At 36.9% G+C, this 24348-nt stretch overlaps 1 long non-coding RNA gene across 1 annotated transcript in view; it reads left to right on the forward strand.

Annotated features, from left to right (window-relative positions):
- The window catches only part of LOC124900817 (uncharacterized), a 140808-nt gene extending 116778 nt beyond the window's left edge, over positions 1 to 24030 (forward strand). Inside the window, exons 3-4 of the long non-coding RNA XR_007058376.1 lie at positions 22620 to 22730; positions 23660 to 24030. This is a non-coding gene — a long non-coding RNA (uncharacterized LOC124900817). The remainder of the gene's footprint in view (positions 1 to 22619; positions 22731 to 23659) is intronic.
- The last annotated feature ends 318 nt before the right edge of the window (positions 24031 to 24348 follow it).

The following is a 24348-nucleotide window of genomic DNA, read 5'->3' on the forward strand; positions in this document are numbered from 1 at the left end:
GGAGCTTATGTTCTAACGTGGTATTTTGTGTGGATAGCAGAATAAACTAAGTGTGGATGGGTTGGTCCAGTTGTTAAGGACATGGGTGCTAATGAGACCCAGGGGGTGGGTTTGGCCTCTGCCTGCAAGCGGAACAGTAGATGGTACTTTTGTTCCATGGCCACAGGCTACAGGCACAACTAAATGGTTATCTCCCAGATGCTTTTACCCACAAAGGGATGAGGTGAGAAGGTGTAGATTAATCATGAAACCCCTTCATCGCTCCTGGGAAAGCAGAAATCCTAGTATGGATCAAGACATGCATATGAGCAACAATGAATTTTAAATTCCAAAACTGAGGGTACTGTAAGTTCACTGTATTGAAAGTTGCTGATGGAGTCCAGAGTCTGTTAGAACATAAAAAGCATGTGGTTTGTATTTTAGAGACATAAGACAGTGCATTTAGTCTGCATATCTGAACACTTTTTCCTTAGAGATTTTCCCTGTTAAATGGGACATTTGACATGGTAGAACAGCATGTGCAGGCAAAGCACATTCAGAACTTCATTGTTTTGAATTGGCTATAACAAAGCACAAAGTTCTTTCTAGGCACTCCAGCATAGCTCTTTCCAAGTCTGGGCTCCAAAAGGGATAGATTAAACAGGAAGGGTACCATGTAATGCTAATTCAGTCTTATCTAATTCAGTTCAGTAAAAATCTCAGTATTTTTGGTGTTCAATATACCAGGTAGACATTGTGGAAAACGGAAAGGCAAGTAAGACATCACTCATGACTTCCAGAGGTTTATATTATTGTAAGGGAGGTGGACATGGATGAATTAAAGGTCCTAGAAAGCAGACTCTGAGAACAATGGAAATACAGGTACAAGGGCAATGAGGGCTCAGGAGAGACCACATGATCGATTCCAACTGGGGAAACCACAGAGAGCATCCTGGAAAAGTTACAAAACTTTAAAGAATGAGTGGACTTAAGTATGCTCAGTTACTCTGTTTAATCTATGTATTATTTATTTATTCTTCCATTGATTTATTGAACAAATACTTTGGGATTCCTACTATGTAACAGTTATGTTGGTAGGAGCTACACAAGTGGATCATGGAATCTGGAGTTGAAGACAGACATTATTCAAATGATCACATGACTTACTATGAGCTGATCTGTGTTCTGAGGAAAAATAATTGACTATGTAAAATATAACAGAGGAAAGAGGCTTAGACCAGGGTTTGGGGAATGCCTGACATGAAACTTGACCTGAGATATGAAAAATAAATAGATGTCAATTGGTGATAAACGGGGTTGGGCCCACAGTTCCGGTAAGAGGAAGGGCATGAGTATCATTGACTTCATGATGCAAGCTGGTGAGAATGATCATTTTATCAGAGACTGTTTGCTGTGCAGAGAGAGAGACTGCACGTGTTAAAAGCACATTTTCTGGAGCCAGATTGCCTGGATTCCAATCCCAGCTCCACCACTCACCAGCTGTGTAACCTTGGGCACTTCGCTTCTCATTTCTAGGCTTCATTCCCTCACTGTAAATGGGGTAAGTGTAAGACTTATCTCAGAGAGTTACAGTGTAGATAGTATACATTCATAATGATAAAATAATATATTACTGATTAACTAGATTAATATACAATGTTAATATAATAATATTTAGGATTAAATGTATTAATTCATTATTCATTAAAATTATTTCCTGACATAAATCTTATAAATTGTATATTATAGAAAAAATAGTAAATATGTAATAGAATATTAGAATCATATATATGAGAATAATAATAGACATTATTATTATTATACCCATGAGTCTAAGTTGAAAACTCTGAATTTTCTGATTTAATAAGTCTGTATTTGGCCATATATTTCTTTCCCTTCTATAACATCTTTTCAATTCTCCAAACAACTAGGATCTCTGGGTGTTCTTTTGCCTCTTTTTCTAAAAACAATCATTTATAGGACATCTCATTCTGACTCATCAAATAAAGTCACTGAAATATGACATTCTTACTTAGTGGGTGGAAACAAAGGGATTTTTAAGAGAAGCAACATTTTTTCAGCATGTTTTATGAGTGCAAATCATAGCATAGTAAAATGATGCAATCCTCCGTGTTTTGTTTTCCACAATAAACTTTCTTTCTCCTAATAGTTAAGATCGTATATATTTTTCAGATTTACCCATCTCAAGATCAGTAATGCATGATTTTATTACACCCATAATTTTACCCTCATGTGCTGACATATACAAATTTATTTTGGTGGCATGTTCTTAATTTCTGGAGCTGCCATGCCATTTTCTTGACTAGTTTTATTTTGGTTTTGACTAATCTCTTATAATTTTGAAAAATAGAGCACTTTATTTTATGGTTTATATTTTTAATAATCATAACTCTCTTTTCTTCGGTTAACAATTCCCCCAGGTTTAAATTAATTCCTGTCCATTTACCCTCCATTGAAGCATAGCATTACATGAATTTATGTTACAGCAGCATACGTGGTGCCGAATACATAAAACATATAAAATATAATCACACACACACACACACACACACACACACACATATATATATGTATACATATACATATATTTTTTAATTTATTTCATTTTTGCCTAGGCTGGACTGCACTGGGGCTATCGTGGCTCACTGCAACCTCTGCTGTCCGGGTTCAAGCGATTCTCCTGCCTCAGCCACTCGAGTAGCTGGGATTACAGACACCCACCACCACACCCAGCTAATTTTTGTATTTTTAGTAGAGACGGGGTTCCACCAGGTTGGCCAGGCTGGTCTTGAACTCCTGATCTCGGGTGATCCGCCCACCTCGGCCTCCCAAAGTGCTGAGATTATAGGTGTGAGCCACCATGCCCAGCTACATATATATGTTTTTGCCTTTCCAATTAGATAACAAATCTTTGAGGGTGGGAGCCAGGCTTGTGATTTTTCTAGTATTGTTCCAGAGTATCCTGCGCTGGGCTCAGCACAAAACAGTTGCTCCATAAAGTCTAGTTGGATTTAATTGAAGTACTTCTGTAGCAAAACTTTGCAGCACTTACTTTGGGGCAGCTTTCTCAGCTGGTAAGTATCAATGAAAACTTAAATGACTGTGAAATAAATTATCTTAAATGTAAAAGTCAAAAATAAAAATCAATTACTTTTCTATTTTGTTCAATGGTTTTTATGGAAAATATAGGCTTGCCTATCCTCACCTACTAAGTTGTCATACAACAATATATCTGAATAAATAAGATTTTCTGGTAACACATTGTATATTTTGAATGAAATTCAGTTACTTGAGTTTTGAAAATGGCTTAAATGGGCTAGAAAGACATAAAACGGTGAGCTGCCTCACTTTTATAGCAGCTGTGTGAGACTATGATTATAAAAACATGCCATGTAAAGGTATCAATCTGCTACAAATTTTCCTGACAGAATTTGTGGAATATTCTTCATTTCCAAGACCATTACCAGAAAATAAAAGCCTGAGATTCAACACTGTCAATCCAATCATCTGGTTAGACTTATACCTTGGTCTAACAGTTTACTGAAAATTACCACCAGGAAAACCCAATCATCTCCAAATAAGTGACATTATTTTACACTAAATTTAGCAAACTAATCTAACTATACATGGGGTGAACACTTAATTGTCTACCTACATTTGCAATACATAAAAAGGCAACAGTTTTCTATATATGTGAAAAATAGTCGCTCTGAGTTCACCAAGCCTTAGGTTATGCTACATAATTTGATTTTTATAACACTATATATCCAGGTATCAAATTTTTCTGATTAAGAAAATGACATAAAATAAAATTTGCTAAAATCAAATTAAACGCCTTTGAGTTTTGCCATTTAGTTTCCAACTAAAGCGTATGCGAATTATTTCTCCACATGTACTTCTATTTCTTAATTACTTCTGCTTCCACTCATATGCTTTTCTTCCTTAGGAAAGGCAGTTTCTTCTTAAAAACTGACTTAGATTCTGAGTGGGGGGCAGTAGAAGCCAGTCCTGTCGTAGAAGATGCCTGACACGGGATGGAGGGTTTGGAGTGCTTTGCATGCCCAGAGGGGCAAAAATATTGAGAAGGGTTGTTGAAAAGAAACACAAGCACCGATGTCATAGGAAGGAGGTCTGACTTTATCTTGCAGGTGATGGGAAGCCGGAGATATAGAAATAACTTTGCTTTAACTTTAAAATTATTTGCTAAAGTATCCATTATTTAAATACAGGCATCATGATTGTTCGTGTGCTATATTAGTTTGAGTCTTGTAAAAGACAAAAAAACTGTAATATTTTAATTTATTTCAGTGTATTTCCATCTTTATTTTTTGAAAAAAAAAAAGAGTAAATCTTACTCCTGCAACTTTTCAGTGTATATCTGTCTTTATTTTTGAAAAAAAAAAAAAAGAGTAAATTTTACTCCTGCAACTTATAGGTAAGCATTTTCCAAAGCGTCATGGTTTTCTAGGGTGTGCCATAATGTAAAGGAAATCACCTTGTATCTAAGTAACATTCTCAGACAAAGTCTGCACTTCCTAAAACCTGGATGCACAGACACTTAGTATAGAATGAAGCTTAATGAGTAAAAACAATAGTACAATCTATCTTGCTTCAGTATTTTGTTTTGCCAGGTGATGTGGTAGGTAAATGAACATATCTTTCTTTGATTGTGCCTGCATAACACATGATACAATGACTATTTGTTACCAGACTTATTTCATTTCAAAATGAGATAATAGATTATTGAATCAAAGCCAGAAAGTCAATCAGGCTAATCTCAGTACCAGACCTGAAACAATTATGTGTCTCTATTGTATAGAAGCTTGTATTTGGCTGATGAATCTATTTTAATCTTTTTAATACTTTATTTGTATTATACTCTTGATTATGGCTATCTTGACAGTAATAAATGACTTCATTAAACAAGTAGCTAATTAAATAAGTACCTAGATACCAATAAACAGCTGAACATAGAAACCAAAGTTGTTTAGCAGAACTTAACTAAAGCTACAATTGAGCGTCATTGTTTCCAGCTACTTGTCAAGCATTAATGACTTTTTTTATATAAACAACTGAGGTGATAATACAGCCATTTTAAGATTGAGGAAAAAATTAACAGAAGTGTTAAATCATCCAGTTGTTGGCACAGCTATCAGAGATGACTGGCGTTTGTACAGAATCTCCATCCTGAAACCATCTTCTAGCTCTTCTTTAACTTGAAGTGTAAAATTTTTTTGAAATTAACCCATAAATTTTCAATTATATTCACTGGTCTTGGGTTACTAACATGTTATTTACTACGTTCTTAAGAAAAAGGATTCACTGATAAGTTATTTTCTTCCTACAACTGTGATTATTTTTCTTTCATAGACACCTCCTCACCATATAATCTATGTCTCTAACTGGAGCCTCAAGACTAAGTTGTTAGCTTGGTTTCTGCCTCAGGTACAAGGCACATTTATTAATTCATTTATGTAATCATTCATGTAATAATTCAATTACATATATACAAAAGCGATAGTGGAGTCTGTATTTCTCATTTTCTCCATTTTTCTTGAAGAAACAAAGAAATAGTAAATCTTTTTTTTTTTTTTGCAAAGAGATCTGGGGTTACAGATTAATAATTACACATCTTCAAAGAGTTTCCACATTGTGGGAAGCCACTAAATAATGAAATTGCAACATAAGTGCAATGGTAGATATAAATATTCAAACTCAGATCTTCTTTCTAACCCCAATTTAACGGGGTATGGTTGTCAGGTTTTTGTTTTAGTGAAAGCAGCTTCTGAGATACACTTTGCTAAGAGTTAATACTCAAAGGGTATGGGGGTGATTAAGTTATTTCTGATGCTGGAGAAAGAATAACAAAGCAGATAATAAAAGGATGTTCATGCTGTTTTCTTGTGGTTGAATTTTATGTTGAACATTAGTGCAGGGATTGGGAGAAGTAGAGTTTAAAGGATTTTCAATAATGGCATGATCAGGTTTGAATTTTACAATGATTTGAAACCTGTTAAATGAATATGAGTTGATTAATTCTGCGAGTGATTGATTGATTGATTTGCCACCTACTGATTCCCATACTACACCTCTAGCGTTAGGATTAGCTACATTCTTGCTATAGTTTCCTATTAAGGGTCCTACTATCCCTGCATCACTTCATATGTTTCTGGGTAATTACTTTAAGTACCTGCACCCCAGTGATCTTTGATGTCATCAGTATCAATAATCTATTGATTCTACCAGCTTTTCATCATCCATCACCACTCTGATATTCTCACTTCTCTTCTTGCCTACCTTATATTATATAATATAGCCATTCCATCCTTTCCCTTCTGTGAGAAATAATTCCAAACCTGCTTAATGCCACCTCTCTGCTACACCTGCATTCAGGCTGTTGAAAAACATGCGATATTGTTGGCTTGCCTTACTCTATATTGATGAACCTTTAGTGCTAGCTAACAATTCTGCTTGTTTCCTTTCTATTTGACCACAAAAATAAAAACAGGCAGAAAAGAACATCCATGGTACCACCGACTTCTGCTAACTTGCTTGTCTCTTCAGCCATCTGTCTTCACTCCAGTTTTGATGGATGAGTTGTCTCTTCCTATCCAAGGCTGAGCCTTTTCCTTGTGAACTCCATTACATCACTGCTCATAATCAAAGTCATTGCTCAGAAATTCCCCCTCCCACCCTCTCCATCTAATTAAGTTTTCTCTCTGTAGAAGCATTTTCGTCAATACAAAAACATACTGCAGTGTCCTCCACAGCAAAAATAAAGAAATAATTTCATTGATCTGGCATTCAACTCTAGCTATATTTTCATGTTGTTCCCCTTTTCTGAGAAATTTCCCCTCAAAAGTTGTCTGCATCTGTGGCATCCTTTGTCTTTCCTTCCATTCTCTCTTGAATACACTCCGATTAAAATTTTAGCACCCACTATGCCATTAAAACAGCTTCTGTCAGTGACTTCTAAATTATCAGATCCAATGGTCATTTATTGATCTTTATCTACTCACACAGTTGCCTAATCTGAAACAGTTGATCACAACTTTCTTTTGGAAACACTTTTATTAGTGGAAATGTTGAGTGAGAATTGGCTAGGAAATGGAAGATTGGGGAAGTGGGGGAATAGTTTTGTTTTAAAATTTTTCATTAGGTAAAAATCTCAGTTATATAATATTTAATTATTTCTCAGGGCCACCTAGAGACTACAAGATACATTCCTGACTAATCAAAGTGAAATTCCACTTGTATTTTTACCCCTTTTGTGCACAAGGTAGGACTTTTCGTGTCTTTGATTTCATTTACTGCTTCCAAATTGTACACATTTAAAAGAGTATTTTAATAATACACGTATAAAACTCTACAACATATTACAATTAGTGTTTTATACAATTAATATTGTCATTTACAACATAATTATTCTTTGACTTGTTCTGTATTCTTTCTTATATTTTCTTTTTCTCTTGATTAATTCATTTTAGTATTACTTTAGTGTACTTCCTTCTCTGGTGATAAATTCTCTGTATTTACTTATCCTTATTCTTGAAGGATTTCTTCACTGAAAAGTTATGGGTTGTCAGTCATTTAATTTCAGCATTGCTTCTTTCTCTGGCTTTTATTTTGTCTCTTGAGAAGTCAGCTCTTGGTTTAACTTTTGCTCGTTTGAAGGTAAATTGCCTTTTTTTCTCATGCTGCCTTGAATATTTTATCCTTTTTCAAAAGGATAAAATAAAAAAGACAACTTTTTTCTCATGCTGCTTTTAATATTTTAATAAATACAATAAAAATAGGATAATTTGTATCCTATTTTAAAATTGTGTAATATTCCTATACATACATAAAAAAACTTGTATATGTGTTTCCTGCTTGAATCTCTTTTATGTGTTTCATCAGTTTTGAAATTTTTAGACATTTTATTTTCAAAATTTCTTCTGCTTTATTCTCTCCTTCCCCACTGGAATTACCATATCTATTCATTAGACCTATTCACTGTATTCTCTATGTCTGCTACCTTCTCTTCCATACTTTCAATCTTTTGTGTCTTTGTGTTTCCTCCTGGATAGTTTCTTCTAAACTATCCTTTGATTCACTAATTCTAACTCTTACTAATCTGCTATTAACTCATCTATTAGTTTCTTAGTATTGCTATTATGGTTTCTTTTTCATTCTGCCTTCCCTTCTTTATATGTTTCCATTATCTGTCTATTCTCTCATTTCTATCTTTTGTTTACTGGAACATAAGAAGCATAATTACTTTAAATTCGGTACCACAACCACCATGGGTCTGTTTCTACTGTCATTTAATTCTGCTCTTTATAAAATGTTATACTTTCAGGAACTAGGTTATTTTTTATTGTGTGCCAAATATGGTATTTTTTAAATATAACAATAAATTGAGAGTTGTCTTAGAAATTGAGAAAATTCCTGGTGGGGGTTCATACTAACTTTTAGAATGTGGCTCATTGGATGCCAGTCTAAACACGGAGACTCTCTCTGCAGCCTGATTCCCATATGTATAGCTCTGAACTCCTGCTTGTATCTTACTAGGCATGTAAATTTCCAATAATTCTATTCTATTCAGCTTTTTAACTTCTCAGCCACCTTCTCCAGAATCTGCACATATTCCCAGGATAAAAGAAGTCTCAGCTTCTGGGCTCATTATTTAGGGTTCTTGTCTCTTCCCAGACTATGGTTCAGTAATTAAAAAAAAAGATTCCAACATTCAGAATGAAAAAGAAGAATACAATGAGATTCCAAGTATCTATTCAGATTAAACAATTATCCTTTTCATTTTAGCTTTTTGATGCCCAAGAAGACAGTTTTGTTTGTTTGTTTGTTTGTTTTGTTTTGTTTTATCTTTTGTGGAGCTTTGAGTTTTTCTCAGAGGTAAGGTTGTTCTCATTTACACATGTAGTCTACCATTAGAATTTGAAGTCCTTGCAGGCCTTGGGACTCTTTCTTCTGTTGAGCTCTAGAGAAGCACTTCACTTTTTCTTTCTTTTTTTTTTTTTTTTTTTTAACTTTAAGTTCTAGGGTACTTGTGCACAACACGCAGGTTTGTTACACATGTATACATGTGCCATGTTGGTGTGCTGCACCCATTAACTCATCATTTACATTAGATACATCTCCTAATGCTATCCCTCCCCGCTCCCCCAACTCCACGACAGGCCCTGGTGTGTGATGTTCCCCTTCCTGTGTCCAAGTGTTCTCACTGTTCAATTCCCACCTATGAGTGAGAACATGCGGTCCACTTTTTCAAAGCTCTTACCTTACCCCTTCCTCTCTCTCTCTCCTTTGCAGCTTCTCCTTATCTTGCTAACTTATAAATGCTGATTTATTAGGCTCATTCCCCACCCTCCTCTTCTATCCACACTCATTACACCTTGTTTCATGGTTTAAAAGAATTTTTGTGTGCTGATAACTTCCAAATTTTTATGTCCAGCTCAGTTTTCTCTTCTGACCTCCAACCTCTGGTTTACAAACCAAAATGGTTATTCAACATCTTTATCTGGATTTCAAACATTCATCCTTAATACCCCAAACTAGTTACTTTCCTAGTCTTTCCGAACTTAGTTATTGGTGATTCTGTTCTTCTAGTATTTAGGTTAAAGAACTTGTTGTCATCCTTGTCTTTTCATTTTTCTCTTAAACCCCACATCCAAGCAATCTGTAATTGTATTGATGTTGTCTTTAAACTATATCCAGAATACTCAGGCCCCTTCTCCAAACCTCTTTTTTAACGTCGTGGCCCAAGATTCCGCATTATTGTAACAGATTCCTATCTTTTCTGTTTCTATCATTGCATCCCCTCTGCCAATCTATTCCATACTCAGCAGTAAGAATGATCATTTTAAGCCAATAACCTAACTGATAACCTCTTGTAGTGATTGTAGGAACTATTCTTAGTGCTTTAAATATGTTAACATTTTGTTTTGTTTTGTTTTGTTTTTGATACGGGGTTTCACTCTTGTTGCCCAAGCTGGAGTGCAATGGCGCCATCTCGGCTCACTGCAACCTCCACCTCCCGGGTTCAAGCAATTCTCCTGCCTCAGCCTCCCTCCTGATTAGCTGGGATTACAGGCATGAACCACCACCACAACGAAAAATTGTCTGGCTCAAATGTCAGAAATGCTGAGGTTGAGCTCTAACACATAGAGCTGCACAGGTGTTAGGATGAGGGCAAGAGTGAAGCACAGCTCAAACAGAGAGAACTTGAAGACATGGGCTACCCATATGAAAGAGAAAAAAGTCCTATTCACATCCTGGAACAAAGATTGCTATCTTCGGAACACGGATAACAGGAATATCAACACAGTGGTGGGTGGCATCGTGCGTGAACTTGGAAGACAATGACCACAGATGATCAGGAGCTTATCTCAGCTTGCCTCAAACTACCTTCCCCAGGGCATTTGGTGATTACGCACATCCCAGCCCATCTGTTGCTAATTGCAATAAAGACCAGGATCTGTTATATCACTGAGGTGAAACCTCATCAAGTTTTAGAGGAAATAAATCTACGAGATGCTCCATAAAAGTAATCTCTACTTTTTGGCATCCAAATCTGTCAAGCATTGATGAGGCAAGCAGGAAACCTAATGAAAATAATACAAGGAAATCTTCTCATCAACACCCATCCCTAATGTCTCAGCTGTCAGGTCATTGTTTTGGCTTCTTGGGGTGGAATCTGCATCGACAGCCAGTATCAGAAGCGCTGACTTTAAACAAGGCAAGCAGTCATTTTTACCATGTGGTCCAAATCAGTTAAAGGGTGCCAGCCCTGCCTCAATTTAAATGGGTTGGTTTTTAAGTGTGTTTATATTCTAGCTTCTCTCACTCTCATGCGCAAGCAAACACACACACTTCTAGACACTGGGCCTTTAGTGTTTGTGATGTAGGCATCTATATTTTTTCCCCTAAGGAACATGCACAGAAAAATTTCTGTGGGTTAAAAGGCCTTTGCTTTATTGGCAAGGATAGCAATGGAACTAATTTGGTGTTTTGCGTTGACGCCTTCTTTCTCCTGACTTGTGTAATAAGATCGTTATATAAGATGATAATTACCTTACTTGATCTGTAAGGAGAATTAAATATGAGGATAACTTTCTACTATGCCCTCTAAAACGTCCTGGTGAAGAACTTAATAGAAGCCTATGATAAAGGTTGAACCCTGGGAACATAAATTCTGTTGGGGTGTATGCATTGAGGTAAGCAGAGTTGCGTGCTGGGTTTGTGAAGGCAGAGAAGGGGACAGGGCAGGGCAGGATATCCTCTTCATTAGCATTATACATTGCTTTTCTCATCATTATCGTGGCAGAGTCACACAAATTATCCTGGTCCAAACACTTAGAGGGCCATAAACTGAACCCACCCTTCCATTAGGTTCAAAGGAAAATGATTACACAAGGAAACTTGTCATGTCCTGTCTAGATAGATAATGTAGCCGGATAATGAAGATTAAAAAATGGCCTGGTGGCACTGTGAAGAGGTTAAAGTACTACTGCAAGGTGCAAAGGAAACATGAATGATCCAAATCCTAGAAGAAAACACAGCTTAGCAGCAGAAGGTTTGTTTATATTATAATAACAGGCTCATTCTTTTCTAACTCATAGGTAGCATTTCCTTTTGACTCTTTGAGCAGAAAAGCAAGAGTGGGCAGAAATGACCTCAGTAGATAAGCAAGGCATTATACTGGTGCTTTGGTGCTTGATAGGAGTTCAATACATAATTTTATTCTTAAAAAAATCACTTAGTAAGGACCTAATATGTGCTAAGCACTGGTTAGGAGATACAAAATACAAGAAAAATAAGGACATGGTTTCTGAACTCCAGGAATGTAAAATGGAATTGGAGGTGATAGATACACTAATTATTGTTAAGAATGGGTTGTCAAATTATGGCCCATGAGCCAAATCTAGCCCACTGCCTGTTTTTGTGAATAAAGTTTGATTGGAGCACAGCCCTGCCCATTCATTTATATGTTGTCTGTGCCTGCTTTTACACTTCAACAGCAGTGTTAAATAGTTACAACAGAGACCGAGACCCTATGGCTTCCAAAGTGTGAAATATTTAATATCTGGTACTTTACATAAATGTCCCTGTAGCTAGGACAGTAGGTATGTAGCCTACATTAATGTCGCATACATGGAAGTAAACACTTTTTGAACACTACTGTAGTTAGTGTACCAACGTCCATTGTGGTAACTACCATATTACCCACATTTTGGAGATTAAAAAATGTAGCTTAAACATTAAATACTTTAAGTTCTCAATGTCACATGAGCAATATGGATTTGAAACCATACATTCCGATTTTTACAGCCCATGCTCTTAACTGATACCCTCTGTAGACAAGAGCTGTACATATTCAATAGGAACAGATATGTCTTTGTCAATTTTCATATCAAGGTGTTCAAGAATTAATTTTCTTTTCTTTCTATAACCGAATTAAATTCTCCCTTGTATTTTCTTTTTCCTGTTTGCAGAATCCTGTTTAGTTTTAGAAAAAGAGCCAATTCAAAGTTTGTCCTCTTCTTTATTTGATAGTTTAATCATTGTTCTCAAGGCTGTGCTAGATTGATAACCATGGTTCTAACCTTCACCCTTTCTGTATCCTGGCCCTCTACCATATAACTTTACAGTGTATTTCTGACTGTGATGGGGTGTATTTCTCCTCCGGACACAGCTCTGTGACTTTTTTTGATCAGTGGGATATTAGCAGACATGATAGAAAGAAACGGACAGTCCTCAAGTGACTAGGCTTATCCTCTCTTCTTCCTCTGCTACTCAGCCGTATTCTCATGGCAGTAGAAACAGCAGAAAATAAGAAACATGTGAAACAGAGCCAAGTCACCTCCAGTGCTTCAACTCACAGCCGGCTGATTTCAAGACAAGTAAAAAAAAGTCCAGAAAAAAAATAAACAATAGATGTTTATCATTGTATCCACTGAGAGCTTATGGTTATTTGCTATGCAATGTAATTTTGGTAATAGGCAACGGGTACAGGGGAATATATAACATAGAGACAGTGGGCAGAGAGTAGGAGAGTATGTCGGTCTGGTTCTTTGTTATTATTGCTTCCTAATGCCATCTTCTGAGAAGCAGATCATCCAATCTGAACCCTGAGCATCATGACCCCTCCAAATTGGAGCTTAGAAATATGTAAGTGGGGAGTTAAAGAATACAAAAGCACCAAAGAGCTGGAAAAGCAGGATGGATACCACTGAAGAGTAAGTTAGTGACCTAGAAGACTAAGCATAAGTTTTTAGAAAACAAATTACGGAAAAAATTTAAAAAGAAGACAGTAGGATAAAGGTTAATGAGATGTAAAAATAGATCCCAAAGTTATACTATCAGAAATACCAGAAGAGAGAAAAATTCATCTCAGAATCGAATAAATAAATTCTCAAATTGGAAAAGACTCACAAAGTTCCAAGAAATATGAATGCTTTTAATAAGTAAAATTTAACCCTCAACATACCCCTATGATATAGGTAATATGATATCACAATTTCACAGATGGGTAACTAAGATATGAAGATTTTAATCTTCCTAGCCACTTTATATGTTGACACTCATCCCCATGACATTGTTAATTCTCAAAACCATTCTTTGAAATATGCGCTATAATTATTCCAGGCTAACAGATGGAAAACTAGAGCATAGAGAAATTAAGTAATTTATGCAAGGTCATGCAGGTAATAAGTGCCAGAAATGGGTCTCTAACCAAGATGTCCTGGCTCAAAAGTTATATGCTTAACCATTATGCCATTGTTGCCATATAGCTGACTGAATGGAAAGTTACAAGTAAACACAAATGGAACTTTTAATTCTCATTGCATACAGATTTTAAAAAATCATGAAGCAGTATCTTCAAACTTCAGAGTGTGCGTATATATATATGTAAATATATATATAAATATTAAGCCAGACTTCTAGATTGGTTTTATTTTCTCATATTGTAATTCAGTCGTGGATTTAGGACTTTTGCTTTGGACTATAGTAAAGTGACTGGTATAGGACTTGACCTCCCACCACAAGCAACTAGAAAACTGGAAAAAATATAGAAAAAAGAGCTGTTTTTTAGATATTCGACAATGGATAGTATCTGTGATCTGAGAAAAGGACAAATGAGGTATGCTCAACAATTCCTCCTGCTTTCTGCTCAAAAGCACTCATTGGCCTGCAATATGAAATTCATCACACTTTAAAAAAGACTAAAAAAATTAGATTCCCACTATTATTTTACCAATAATACATATAATTCAATCAAAATTGTCTAGACATGTACAGAAGAAGGAAAATATGAACCATAATCAGGAGAAAAATTCTGCAGAAACAGGTCCCGAGATAACAGAGATACAGGAAGTGGCAGACAGGGACTTTACAAGAGCTATTGTGCACAAATAAAAGAAGAAAAACAAATGTCCTGCACCACTCAATACAATACTTCCCCTCTGGTCATCAAAATACGTGTTGGGAGTTCTCCCTACACACCAAGCAATTCTCCAGCGGACACTAACCGGATGTCCTATAATTTAATTCAATTCTGATACTACCTACCTGGAGACTGTGTCAGATTCCACAGGTGAAGGTTTTGGTTCCACAAAACTGTCCCTACTTCAGATGCCAATCACAAGCCATCCATAACCTTTGCGTTCCCAGAAACCACTTCTTGGGTTCAATTACTTTGCTAGAGTGCCTCACAAAATTTAGGGAAAGACTTCACTTATGTTTACTGATGTATTACAAGGGATGTTACAAAGGATACGTAGAGGGAAAAGATCCATAGGACAAGACATGTGGGAAGGGACCCAGAACTTACAAGCCCTCTCTAGGTGCGCCACCCTCCAGACACCTCCAAGTGTTCAGCTGTCCAGAGGCTCCCCAAACCCCACTCTTTTTTTTTTTTTTTGAGACCAAGTCTCGCTCTGTCTCCCAGGCTAAAGTGCAGTGGCGCGATCTCGGCTCACTGCAAGCTCCGCCTCCCGGGTTCACGCCATTCTCCTGGCTCAGCCTCCCGAGTAGCTGGGACTACAGGCGCCCGCTACCACGCCCGGCTAATTTTTTTGTATTTTTAGTAGAGACGGGGTTTCACCGTGTTAGCCAGGATGGTCTCCTGACCTTGTGATCCTCCCGCCTCGGCCTCCCAAAGTGCTGGGATTACAGGCGTGAGCCAGCGCACCCGGCCCCTTTTGGGTTTTTATGGAGGTTTAATTGCATGGATGTAATTGGTTACATCACTAACGTGAGTTATCAACCTAACCTTCAGCCACGCTCTCTTCCCCGGAGGTCGGGCCCTATTCTGAGCTATGCTGGAGCCTGCCAAAAGTCACCTCATTAGAACAAAAGATGCTTCTATCACCCAGCAAATTTCAAGGGATTTAGGAGCTCAGCACCAGGAACTGGAATCAAAGACCAAATAGGAAAACAGAAGAGTGTCCTAGCGCCCCTATCGACAGGGGTTTTTGAAGCTCTGTGTCAGGAACTGGGGGCAGAAACCAAATATATATGTGTGTGTGTGTGTATATATATAATATCACAATATTACAATATGGTTAAGGATTTCCAGAAAAAAAATACGGATAAGAAGAGAAATGAAAGACATCGTTTTAAATCAGTGGAATTTCTAGAAAAGAAAAACACAATGTTTGAAATGAAAAATTAATTGTATCGGCTTCATAGAAGATTAGACATTGGAAAAGTAAAAAACAGTAAAACTGAAGATATGACAAGAGAATAATTCTGAAATGAAAACAGAGAGAAACAGGTTTAAAAAAAAGTGACTAAGTCTCGATGACTTGTGACATCAAGTGGTAGAACATGGAGATCCATAGGCCAGGCGCAGTGGCTCGCGCCTGTAATCCCAGCACTTTGGGAGGCCAAGGCAGGTGGATCACTTGCAGTCTGGAGTTTGATACCAGCCTGGCCAACACGGGGAAACACTATCTCTACTGAAAATACAAAAAATTAGCCAGGTGTGGTGGCATGCACCTGTAGTCCCAGCTACTCCAGAGGCTGAGGCAGGAGAATCGCTTAAACCCAGAAGGTGGAGGTTGAAGTAAGCTGAGGTTGCACCACTGCATTCCAGCTTGGGCAACAGAGTGAGACTCTGTCTCAAAAAACCAAAACAAAAACAAAAAAACAAACAAACAAAAAAAAGAGATCCAGAAGTAAAGTGGAATTGAAAAAGAATTGAAGAAATAATAACTGCAAGTTTATAGTCCCATGAAGCTAAATAATCTCAAATATAATAAAGAAATAAAATAACACTGAGTCACATCACAATCAAAAGGCTAAAAACTAGAGATAAGAGACAATCTTAAAGAGGCAGAGTAAAAAAGATGGACATATTACCTACAGGCAAGTAAAGTTAAAATTAACCACATGCTTTTAAGAAAACAATGGAAGCCAGAGTTTAGTGAAGTAATAATTTTAAAGTTCTGAAATAAAAAAATTCAATGTGAAATTCTACATCTAATAAAAATATTTTTTAGAAATAAGGGAGAAATAAATATTTTTAGACAAAGAAACCTGAGAGATTTACTGTCAGTAATGTGTACTGTAAGAAATATTAAAGTTTTCCTCAGGTAGAAGAAAAATAAGAACAAATAGAAACTTGGAAGGCCACCACAAGTAGTAAATATGTGGGTAAATACTGACATTTAAAAATATATAATTAAATGTCTAAATTTTAAAAAGTATGTTGAAATTTATAACACATGTAGAAGTAAAAGTATGTACTAGAAGCACTAACACAAGGATAGAAGATGAAAAATGAAAGTATTTTGTTGTAAAGCTTTTTTATTACACATAATGTGGTATGATATTATTTGAATGCAGGCAGTTATAAGTTAAAGATACTTATTGTAAACTCTAAAGCAATCACTACAAAAATTAGAAATAGAACAGCTAATAATTCAATGATGGAGAAAAAGTATAATATAATATGCAAATATGCTGAACGCAAAAAAGGCAGAAGCACAAGAAACAAATAAAAAGCGTGACAAATAGAAAATAAATAGCAAGATAATAGATTGAAGTCCAACCATACTGATAATCAATTAAATATAAATGGCCTAAATACTATAGTTAAAAGGCAGATAGGTAACTGCCATAGACTGTATTATCTCCCAGAGCTCCAGGAGTCATATTAACTTTGTTTTCCCCACTTTTCCCTCATATCACTGATATGCTGTGGTTTAATCTGAATCAAATTTAAGTGCATGAGACAGAGCTACAGTAGGAGAAATAGCAGCCACCAAGCTGGCTTTAGAGATTTGTAGAAATAGTAATGTCATGTCTATTAAAAAGCCCATTGTGAAGGGAGATCTGCAGGATTTACAAGTTCTCTACCGTGTCACAAGCACCACTAGAACTACCAGTACCACCAGTAAGTATTACAGTGATAGGGAGGAAATAGATGGTGAAGGTTATAAGGTTTGCAAGGAGGAGAGGAGGATTTGCAATATGCAAGATATGCATAAGATGAACAATTATAATGAATCTCTTGATGAGGGAGAAGATAATACAGTAGACAGGGAAGGCCAATAACTGGGCCAGGACCAGGGAATAATCTAGGACAGGTATCAGTAACTAGGTTCCATGGGTCCAATCCAGCCCATAAAATCTAAGATGTTTACTCTCTGGCCCTTTACAGAAAAATTTGCAGCTTCCTGGTATAGAGGGAAGGAAAAAAAGTTGCCTCAAGGAAACCCTGGGGCATCTCCACACTTGCTGCACCCTTTGCCAAGCTGCTGGTGGCTCAGGGCCTGAAATCTCACATTAAACCCTTTTGAGATGTTGCAAGGTCCTGACCTCCTTGACTTCTCTTGGACCATCAGCCCGCTCCTAAATCTCTTGAGGCAGAACCCCCATGTGGGCAGCATTTTGCTTCTTGTTTGCCAAGTTTGCAATTTTAGCTCCTCTCTCTCTCTCTCTCTCTCTCTCTCTCTCTCTTTCTGAGAAAGAGTCTTGCTCTGTCACCCAGGCTGGAGTGTAGTGGTATGATCTCGGCTCACTGCACTGCAGCTTCCACCTCCTGGGTGCAAGTGATCCTCCTGCCTCAGCATCCTGAGTAGCTGAAATTACAGTGTGATCTCGGCTCACTGCAACCTCCACCTCCTGGGTGCAAGTGATCCTCCTGCCTCAGCCTCCCGAGTAGCTGGAATTACAGGTCGCACCACCACACCCGGCTAATTTTTGTGTTTTCAGTAGAGGTGGGGTTTTGCCATGTTGCCTATACTGACCTCGAACTCTTGGCCTCAAGTGATCCACCCACCTTAGCCTCCCAAAGTGCCGAGATTACAGGTGTGAGCCACTGCACCTGGCCTCTATCTTTCTTTAATAAAGACATGGCACTAATTGAATAAAATCCAGAGGTTGTCAGACTGGAAAAAAAGAACTCACTATTTCTGTCCATAAGAAACCTACTTAAATATAAAGACATATTTAAAAGACAGAAAAAGATGTAGCAGGCAAGGACTATTCATGAAGAAATAGGAGTGGCTATATTAGTATCCAGAAAATGTAGGCCCAGGACAAGCATTATTGCCAGACATAAAGTGGGACATTTTGAGTCAATTCATTAAGAAGCAGTAACACTCCTAAATAAGTATGTGCTAAATAACAGAGCTTCAAAATACATCAACTGAAAATATAGAAAATCAACAATTATAACTGGAGATTTCAACAATCCTCTTTCAGTAAATGATACAAGTGGCCAAAAATACCAGGAAGAATGTAAAAGACCTAAACAATACTATCAAACAACTTGACATGTGATATTTATAGAACAAGTTACTCAACAACAGTAGAATATGTATTCTTTTCAGGTGTACATAATAAATTCACCAAGTCTCTAGAAAGCTGATGACTTAAGTATTACAGACTGTTTTCTGACTACAATGAAATTAAATTGGAAATAAATAATAAAAAGATATCTGTAAAAATCCCCAAATATTTGGACATTGAGTAATACATTTTTAAATAACCAATAAATCAGTTAACTAATAATAAGGAAAATCAGAATATATTTTGAAGTGAATGAGCATAAAGACACAGCATGACAAAATTTGGGGGATGCAGCTAAAGCATCCTTAAAACAATTTAGAATTTTGAATGTGTATATTAGAAAATAAGAAAGTTCTCAAATCAGTGATGTACATTGCCATCTAAAGAAGTTAGACAAAGCAGTTGAAATAAACATAAAAGTAATAAAGAAATCAGTAAAATAGAAAACAGATAAACCATAGAGAAAATTAATAAAGCTAAAATGTGTCTCATTCCAAACATCAATAAAATTAAAAATACTTTTAACTAGACCAGTTAAGCGCACACACACACACACACACACACACACACACACAAAGCACAAATTACAAATATCAGGAATGAGAGAAGTCGACATCACTCTAGATTCTGTTGTAGCTAAGATGACCTCAGTGATTCCCACTTCTTGGTATGCATGCCTTTGTGTATTCCACTCCACATTGAGAGAGAGAAGAAATATAACCAAAAAGATACTGTGGAAATAACCAAGTGTCGCTTCCAACATTAGGCCTTAAAGATGTTTTCCACTGGATCACTCACTCTGGGAGAAGCCAACTGTCATGTCCTTACCACAAACAAGAAGCTAAGGCTTCTTCCAGTCAGCCCTTCAGATGGCTGCAGCCCTAGCTGACCCTCCTTCCAGTCAGCCCTTCAGATGACTGCAGCCCTAGCTGACATCTTGATGACAACTTCATGAGCGATCCTGAGCCAGACCACTCATATAATCTACTCTTCAGTTCCTGACGCATTGACTGAGTGAGCTTTTAAATATTTGTTAAACATCTAAGGTTTTGTTTATGCAGCAATAGATAATACCAGTTCTATAGAAAGAAAATAAGAAAATATTATAAGCAACTTTATATCAATAAATATGATGACTTAGAAAACATTGACAAATTCTTTGAAAGACAAAATTGTGACATAAAGAAATGAAAAATCAGAGAAAGCCTATATCCATGAAATCAATTGAATTCATAAATAAAAACAGTTCCACAATGAACTTCAGGCCATGATAGCTTCACTGACTGGTGAATTCTATTAAACATGCTAGAAGAAAACAATACCCATAGTACATAAACTTTTGAGAAAACAGAGGAAAAGAGAACATTCACCAGTTGATTGCATGGAGCCCAACATAACTCTAATATTAAACCTGATCAAGACATAACAATAGAAAGACCAATATCTTCATGAACACATTGTAAACATCTTTAACTAAAAATAGATTGAATCCTAATTTGATTTTGATTTTGATTGTATAATATAGTGGACTTGAAAGAAAAACTAATCTAGGTATGGATATCCTGAAAATGTAGGTGAATGTTTTTTTCTAATATACATTGCTTGAAAACATGATTCCAAATTATAATGGATATTTGACGCTCAGAGAATGTGTCCACTGGGAGTTGTGATTCCCCCTCTCTCATCAGTGAGATGAGTTTAGCCAGTGAGGTTATATCAGGAGGATAGGTACAAATTTACTACTTCTACTACACATTTAATCAACTCTTACCTGCTACTATTGAAGTATTTGACTTGGGAACTCTTCTCTTGACAGAGCTGAGTGTAAGTAATGTTTGCATAGGATGATGATTTATATCTATGTAGTATATTCCTGTAGTGACAATAACAGCGTATACAATATCAGCAAAACAATTTCCCTAAAGAAAGTTTTGAGGGTAAAATGTCAAAAAGTAAACTCCACTTAAATGAAGAACAAAGCAGGCAAAATTGAATTGTAATGCTAAGAAGACTTGGCTTTCTATAAGGGTAAATTTTTGTGACTTGATTATTAAGTTAATTCAAAGGTCCATTACGGATCTGGGAGCTAGGGTTGTCTTAGCTTTGTTTTTTCATCATGATGAAAGTTGAAATTATGCTTTTGTTAACATGAGAGTGATAACAGAAGACACCCTCAGTGTCCCAAGAGAAATGGTCATTGTTATCTAATATTCATGGTTGTTACAATTTAAACTATAATATTCCAATAAGATACATTTTAAACATGTTGGAAAAAAGGTGAGATCATCTAAATTTTGACTGTTTGTTTTCTCCATTTTTCATAGAATGATTTGTTAACATTTCTACTAATATTTACTTAATGGTTGGCTTTGATTTTCAATAAGCACATGTTGTTATAATTGCCTGATCCCATTTATGTACAATCATAACCTCAGAGGTTGACCACACACAGGTAGAAGAGGTGAAATGGGAGATGTACTCCATCCTGCCTTCTGAGACACAGTTCCTATCAGCCTGGCCCCATGCTGTAATTCTTCCATTAGGTTCACCTAAAAGACAAATTGTCTTCAGAAGACCACATAAAAAGCAGAAGCGGAAGTTGAGACATATAACATATTAAGCAAAAATTATCTAAAATTCTGTGAATACACTTATAAGGGAGGAAATGATTGCATTTTGCTTGTAATCCCTGAACAGCCAGGTGGTATTGTCAGGTATGCACAGCTATTTAGGGAACAATTAGAGGGAAACAGAGATGATGAAAGTCAGAGGGGTACTCTTAAGTCAGAGCTTTTCTGCACTTAGGAATTTCCTACCACTTGAAATTGTTTCCAATTCATTTCTAAATTCAGATTCCAATTTCATGCTTTTCTGGAGCCATGTGAAGTGTATATTTTTCAAAAATATTTATTTGATTAAAGGTGTCTGACCCTATTTTCTTTCAACAGAACTTGTGGGTTTGATTCTCGGTGATTTGAGTCTATTTATGGAAATTGCGTGTATCAAAAGTTTGCCTTTCAGCTGGGCATGGTGGCTCATTCCTATAGTCCCATCTACTTGAGACTGAGGTGGGAGGTTTGCTTGAGTCAAGTTCAAGACCAGCCTGGGCGACAGAGTGAGACCCTTTTCTAAATAAATAAATAAATAAATAAAAACAAAGCTTGCTTTTCAACTAGATTAGGAACTCTGAGTGCATGAATCAAGTTACCTCTTTTATTAAATTTTGCAGTTGCATCTATCATGAACTCTGTATACAAATATGAAATGTGAAATATAATTCCTCGATTACTAGCAAATTTCCTTCTGCCATTAACATATATTCCTCCTTCCCTCGAAACACCATACATTTTCCTTTACATTTTTTCTATTCTCCTTTTCTTTTTACCTTCTCTTTTTCAGAAGGAAGTATTTGAGGAATTCTGTCCTGCATCTTGCTTGTTCCTGTGGTCTTGGTGTTTGTCCAAGTGTGAGACCTGAGGCTACACCTCACATTCGCAGCAATTGTCCTCATGTAAGACACACAAAAAGAGACAGCAAGCAGGATTATCCTAGACTTAGTATACGTGACAAGAAAGGCATGAGCTGTAACAAGTAAAAAGCTGTTTTGTTTCAAAAAATAGGGGTTGCTGATGAAGGAATCACATCTGAAAGAAACAACACTTTTCATGGAGGCCAGATGAAAGGAGCTTAGGGTCTTCCAGTGTGTGTGTGTGTGTGCACACTTGGGCATACTATAAATTAGCCTCAGACAGAGGTCTGCTATGAAACAGTTAATTCTGAAAAGTTTTCTATAAACTCCAGTGATAATGTTTCTTTTTCAGGTTCATGGAAAACCAGTTTAGCATCACTAACAAGCCACCTTACGGGTGTAGATAAAGGACTGGCGCCACAACGTCTATATGGACTAAACTTTTCATTTTCATCACTTTTTGGTAAGGACCTGAAAACAAAACTGAGTAACTGCTCTTGCTTGGGATGGAATTGCTCACTGTAGTCTTTGGAAAAAGAAAAGGAAAGGCCAAGAGGTAGCAACAAACAAACAAACAAACAACAAAATCTTGCCTGGTTTGCAGTGGGTCTCTCCCTGTTTCCTCTCTTCCCTTGGCCCTTTAGTGCCCAGGGCCCTCATATCACCCATGGCTTTCTCGAGCTGTTCTGCATCTCAAAATGGGTTTCCATATCATTATCCTTCTTTCAAAGATTTCCCCAGTGGCTCAGGCCTGTAATCCCAGCACTTTGACAGATTAAGGCAGGAAAATTGCTTGAAGCAAGGAGTTTGAGACCAGCTTGGGCAACATAGCAACATCCTGTGTCAACAAAAAATTTTAAAAAAATTAGCTGAGTGTGGTGGCATGCACCTGCAGTACTAGTCACTTGGGAGGCAGGGGTGGGAGGATCGCTTGAGCCCAGGAGTTCGAGGGAGCAGTGAGCTATGATTGCACTCCAGCCTGGGTGACAGAGTGAGACCTAGTCTCTAAAAATAATAAAAATAAGAGATTTCCTTTCTGTCTCTCAGAGAGATAACTCAAATCCAAAAAACTCAACTAAGAAAATTGCCTGTTGATGTTTCAAATCTTGTAGAATGAAGCTTTAAATTGTTTATCAAAGAAATATTTTGGTAGAAAAAGATCCTTTTATATTGGCTTGAAAATAAAACTGCTGCTACAATCTTCCATTTTCTCATATCTCCTATTGGAAACTGGGGAACAGGCCATCTTTGGGAAGCTTTGTATCTTTAATGCAGGAATTGGAAATGATACAACTCCTACCACTTAGGAAAATCAACTTCATGCTAAACATATTCAATGTCTGCTTTGTCTTGATCCTGACAATCAAAATTAAACATTTTTTGACTTCTCAGCTTTTGACACCTCCTCCTGCATGAGGGACAACACCATTCAGCTGTTGGGAGACAACTGTCCTCGAGTCTCATGTGTTCCTGCATTTGTTGTGAGGAGAGGCTCTAACGATCTTTGCTTCAGACTATCTTTCCAAGGATATTCGTATGGTGAACAGCACTGAAGGGTAGAGATGGTGTCTCCCACCAGAGCAGAGGAGAAATTTGTCTTCTGGCCAGTGTAATATAGATACCTTCCTAGAGGGAAAAGGGTGGGCCTATTTGCCTGCACCCCATTAGAAAAGACTGGATTTTATACGCTCTGGGTTCCTTGGCTCTTCATCATCCTTGTGGGATTTGTGGGCATGGAGAACTGAGAACTGGTGCACTCATGAAGGTTATGAAGATCATGCTGTCTTGTATTCCATAAGTGATAAAGTTCTTTGTCACCAACCCAGAAGTGTTCTGTCTTTTGCCAGAATCTATTAAGCTGAGGCGGGCTAGACTGTTAGTTTGCAAACTGGGTAAAATCTCAGATACTTCACAGTTCTTCATGCCAGACAGTTATCTTTAGACTTTTCCAGATGGCAATCAGGAATAAACTCTATTCTCAAACCCTTAGGAATATACGGTTCAAGTTCACTCAAGAACTTGTACCATGATGGGAAGACTAGATAGCCAAGAAGGAAGTTGGACCCCACCTTAAGCCATGT

The sequence above is a fragment of the Homo sapiens genome, chromosome 4 (genome assembly GCF_000001405.40).
Source record: "Homo sapiens chromosome 4, GRCh38.p14 Primary Assembly".
Lineage (NCBI taxonomy): Eukaryota > Metazoa > Chordata > Mammalia > Primates > Hominidae > Homo > Homo sapiens.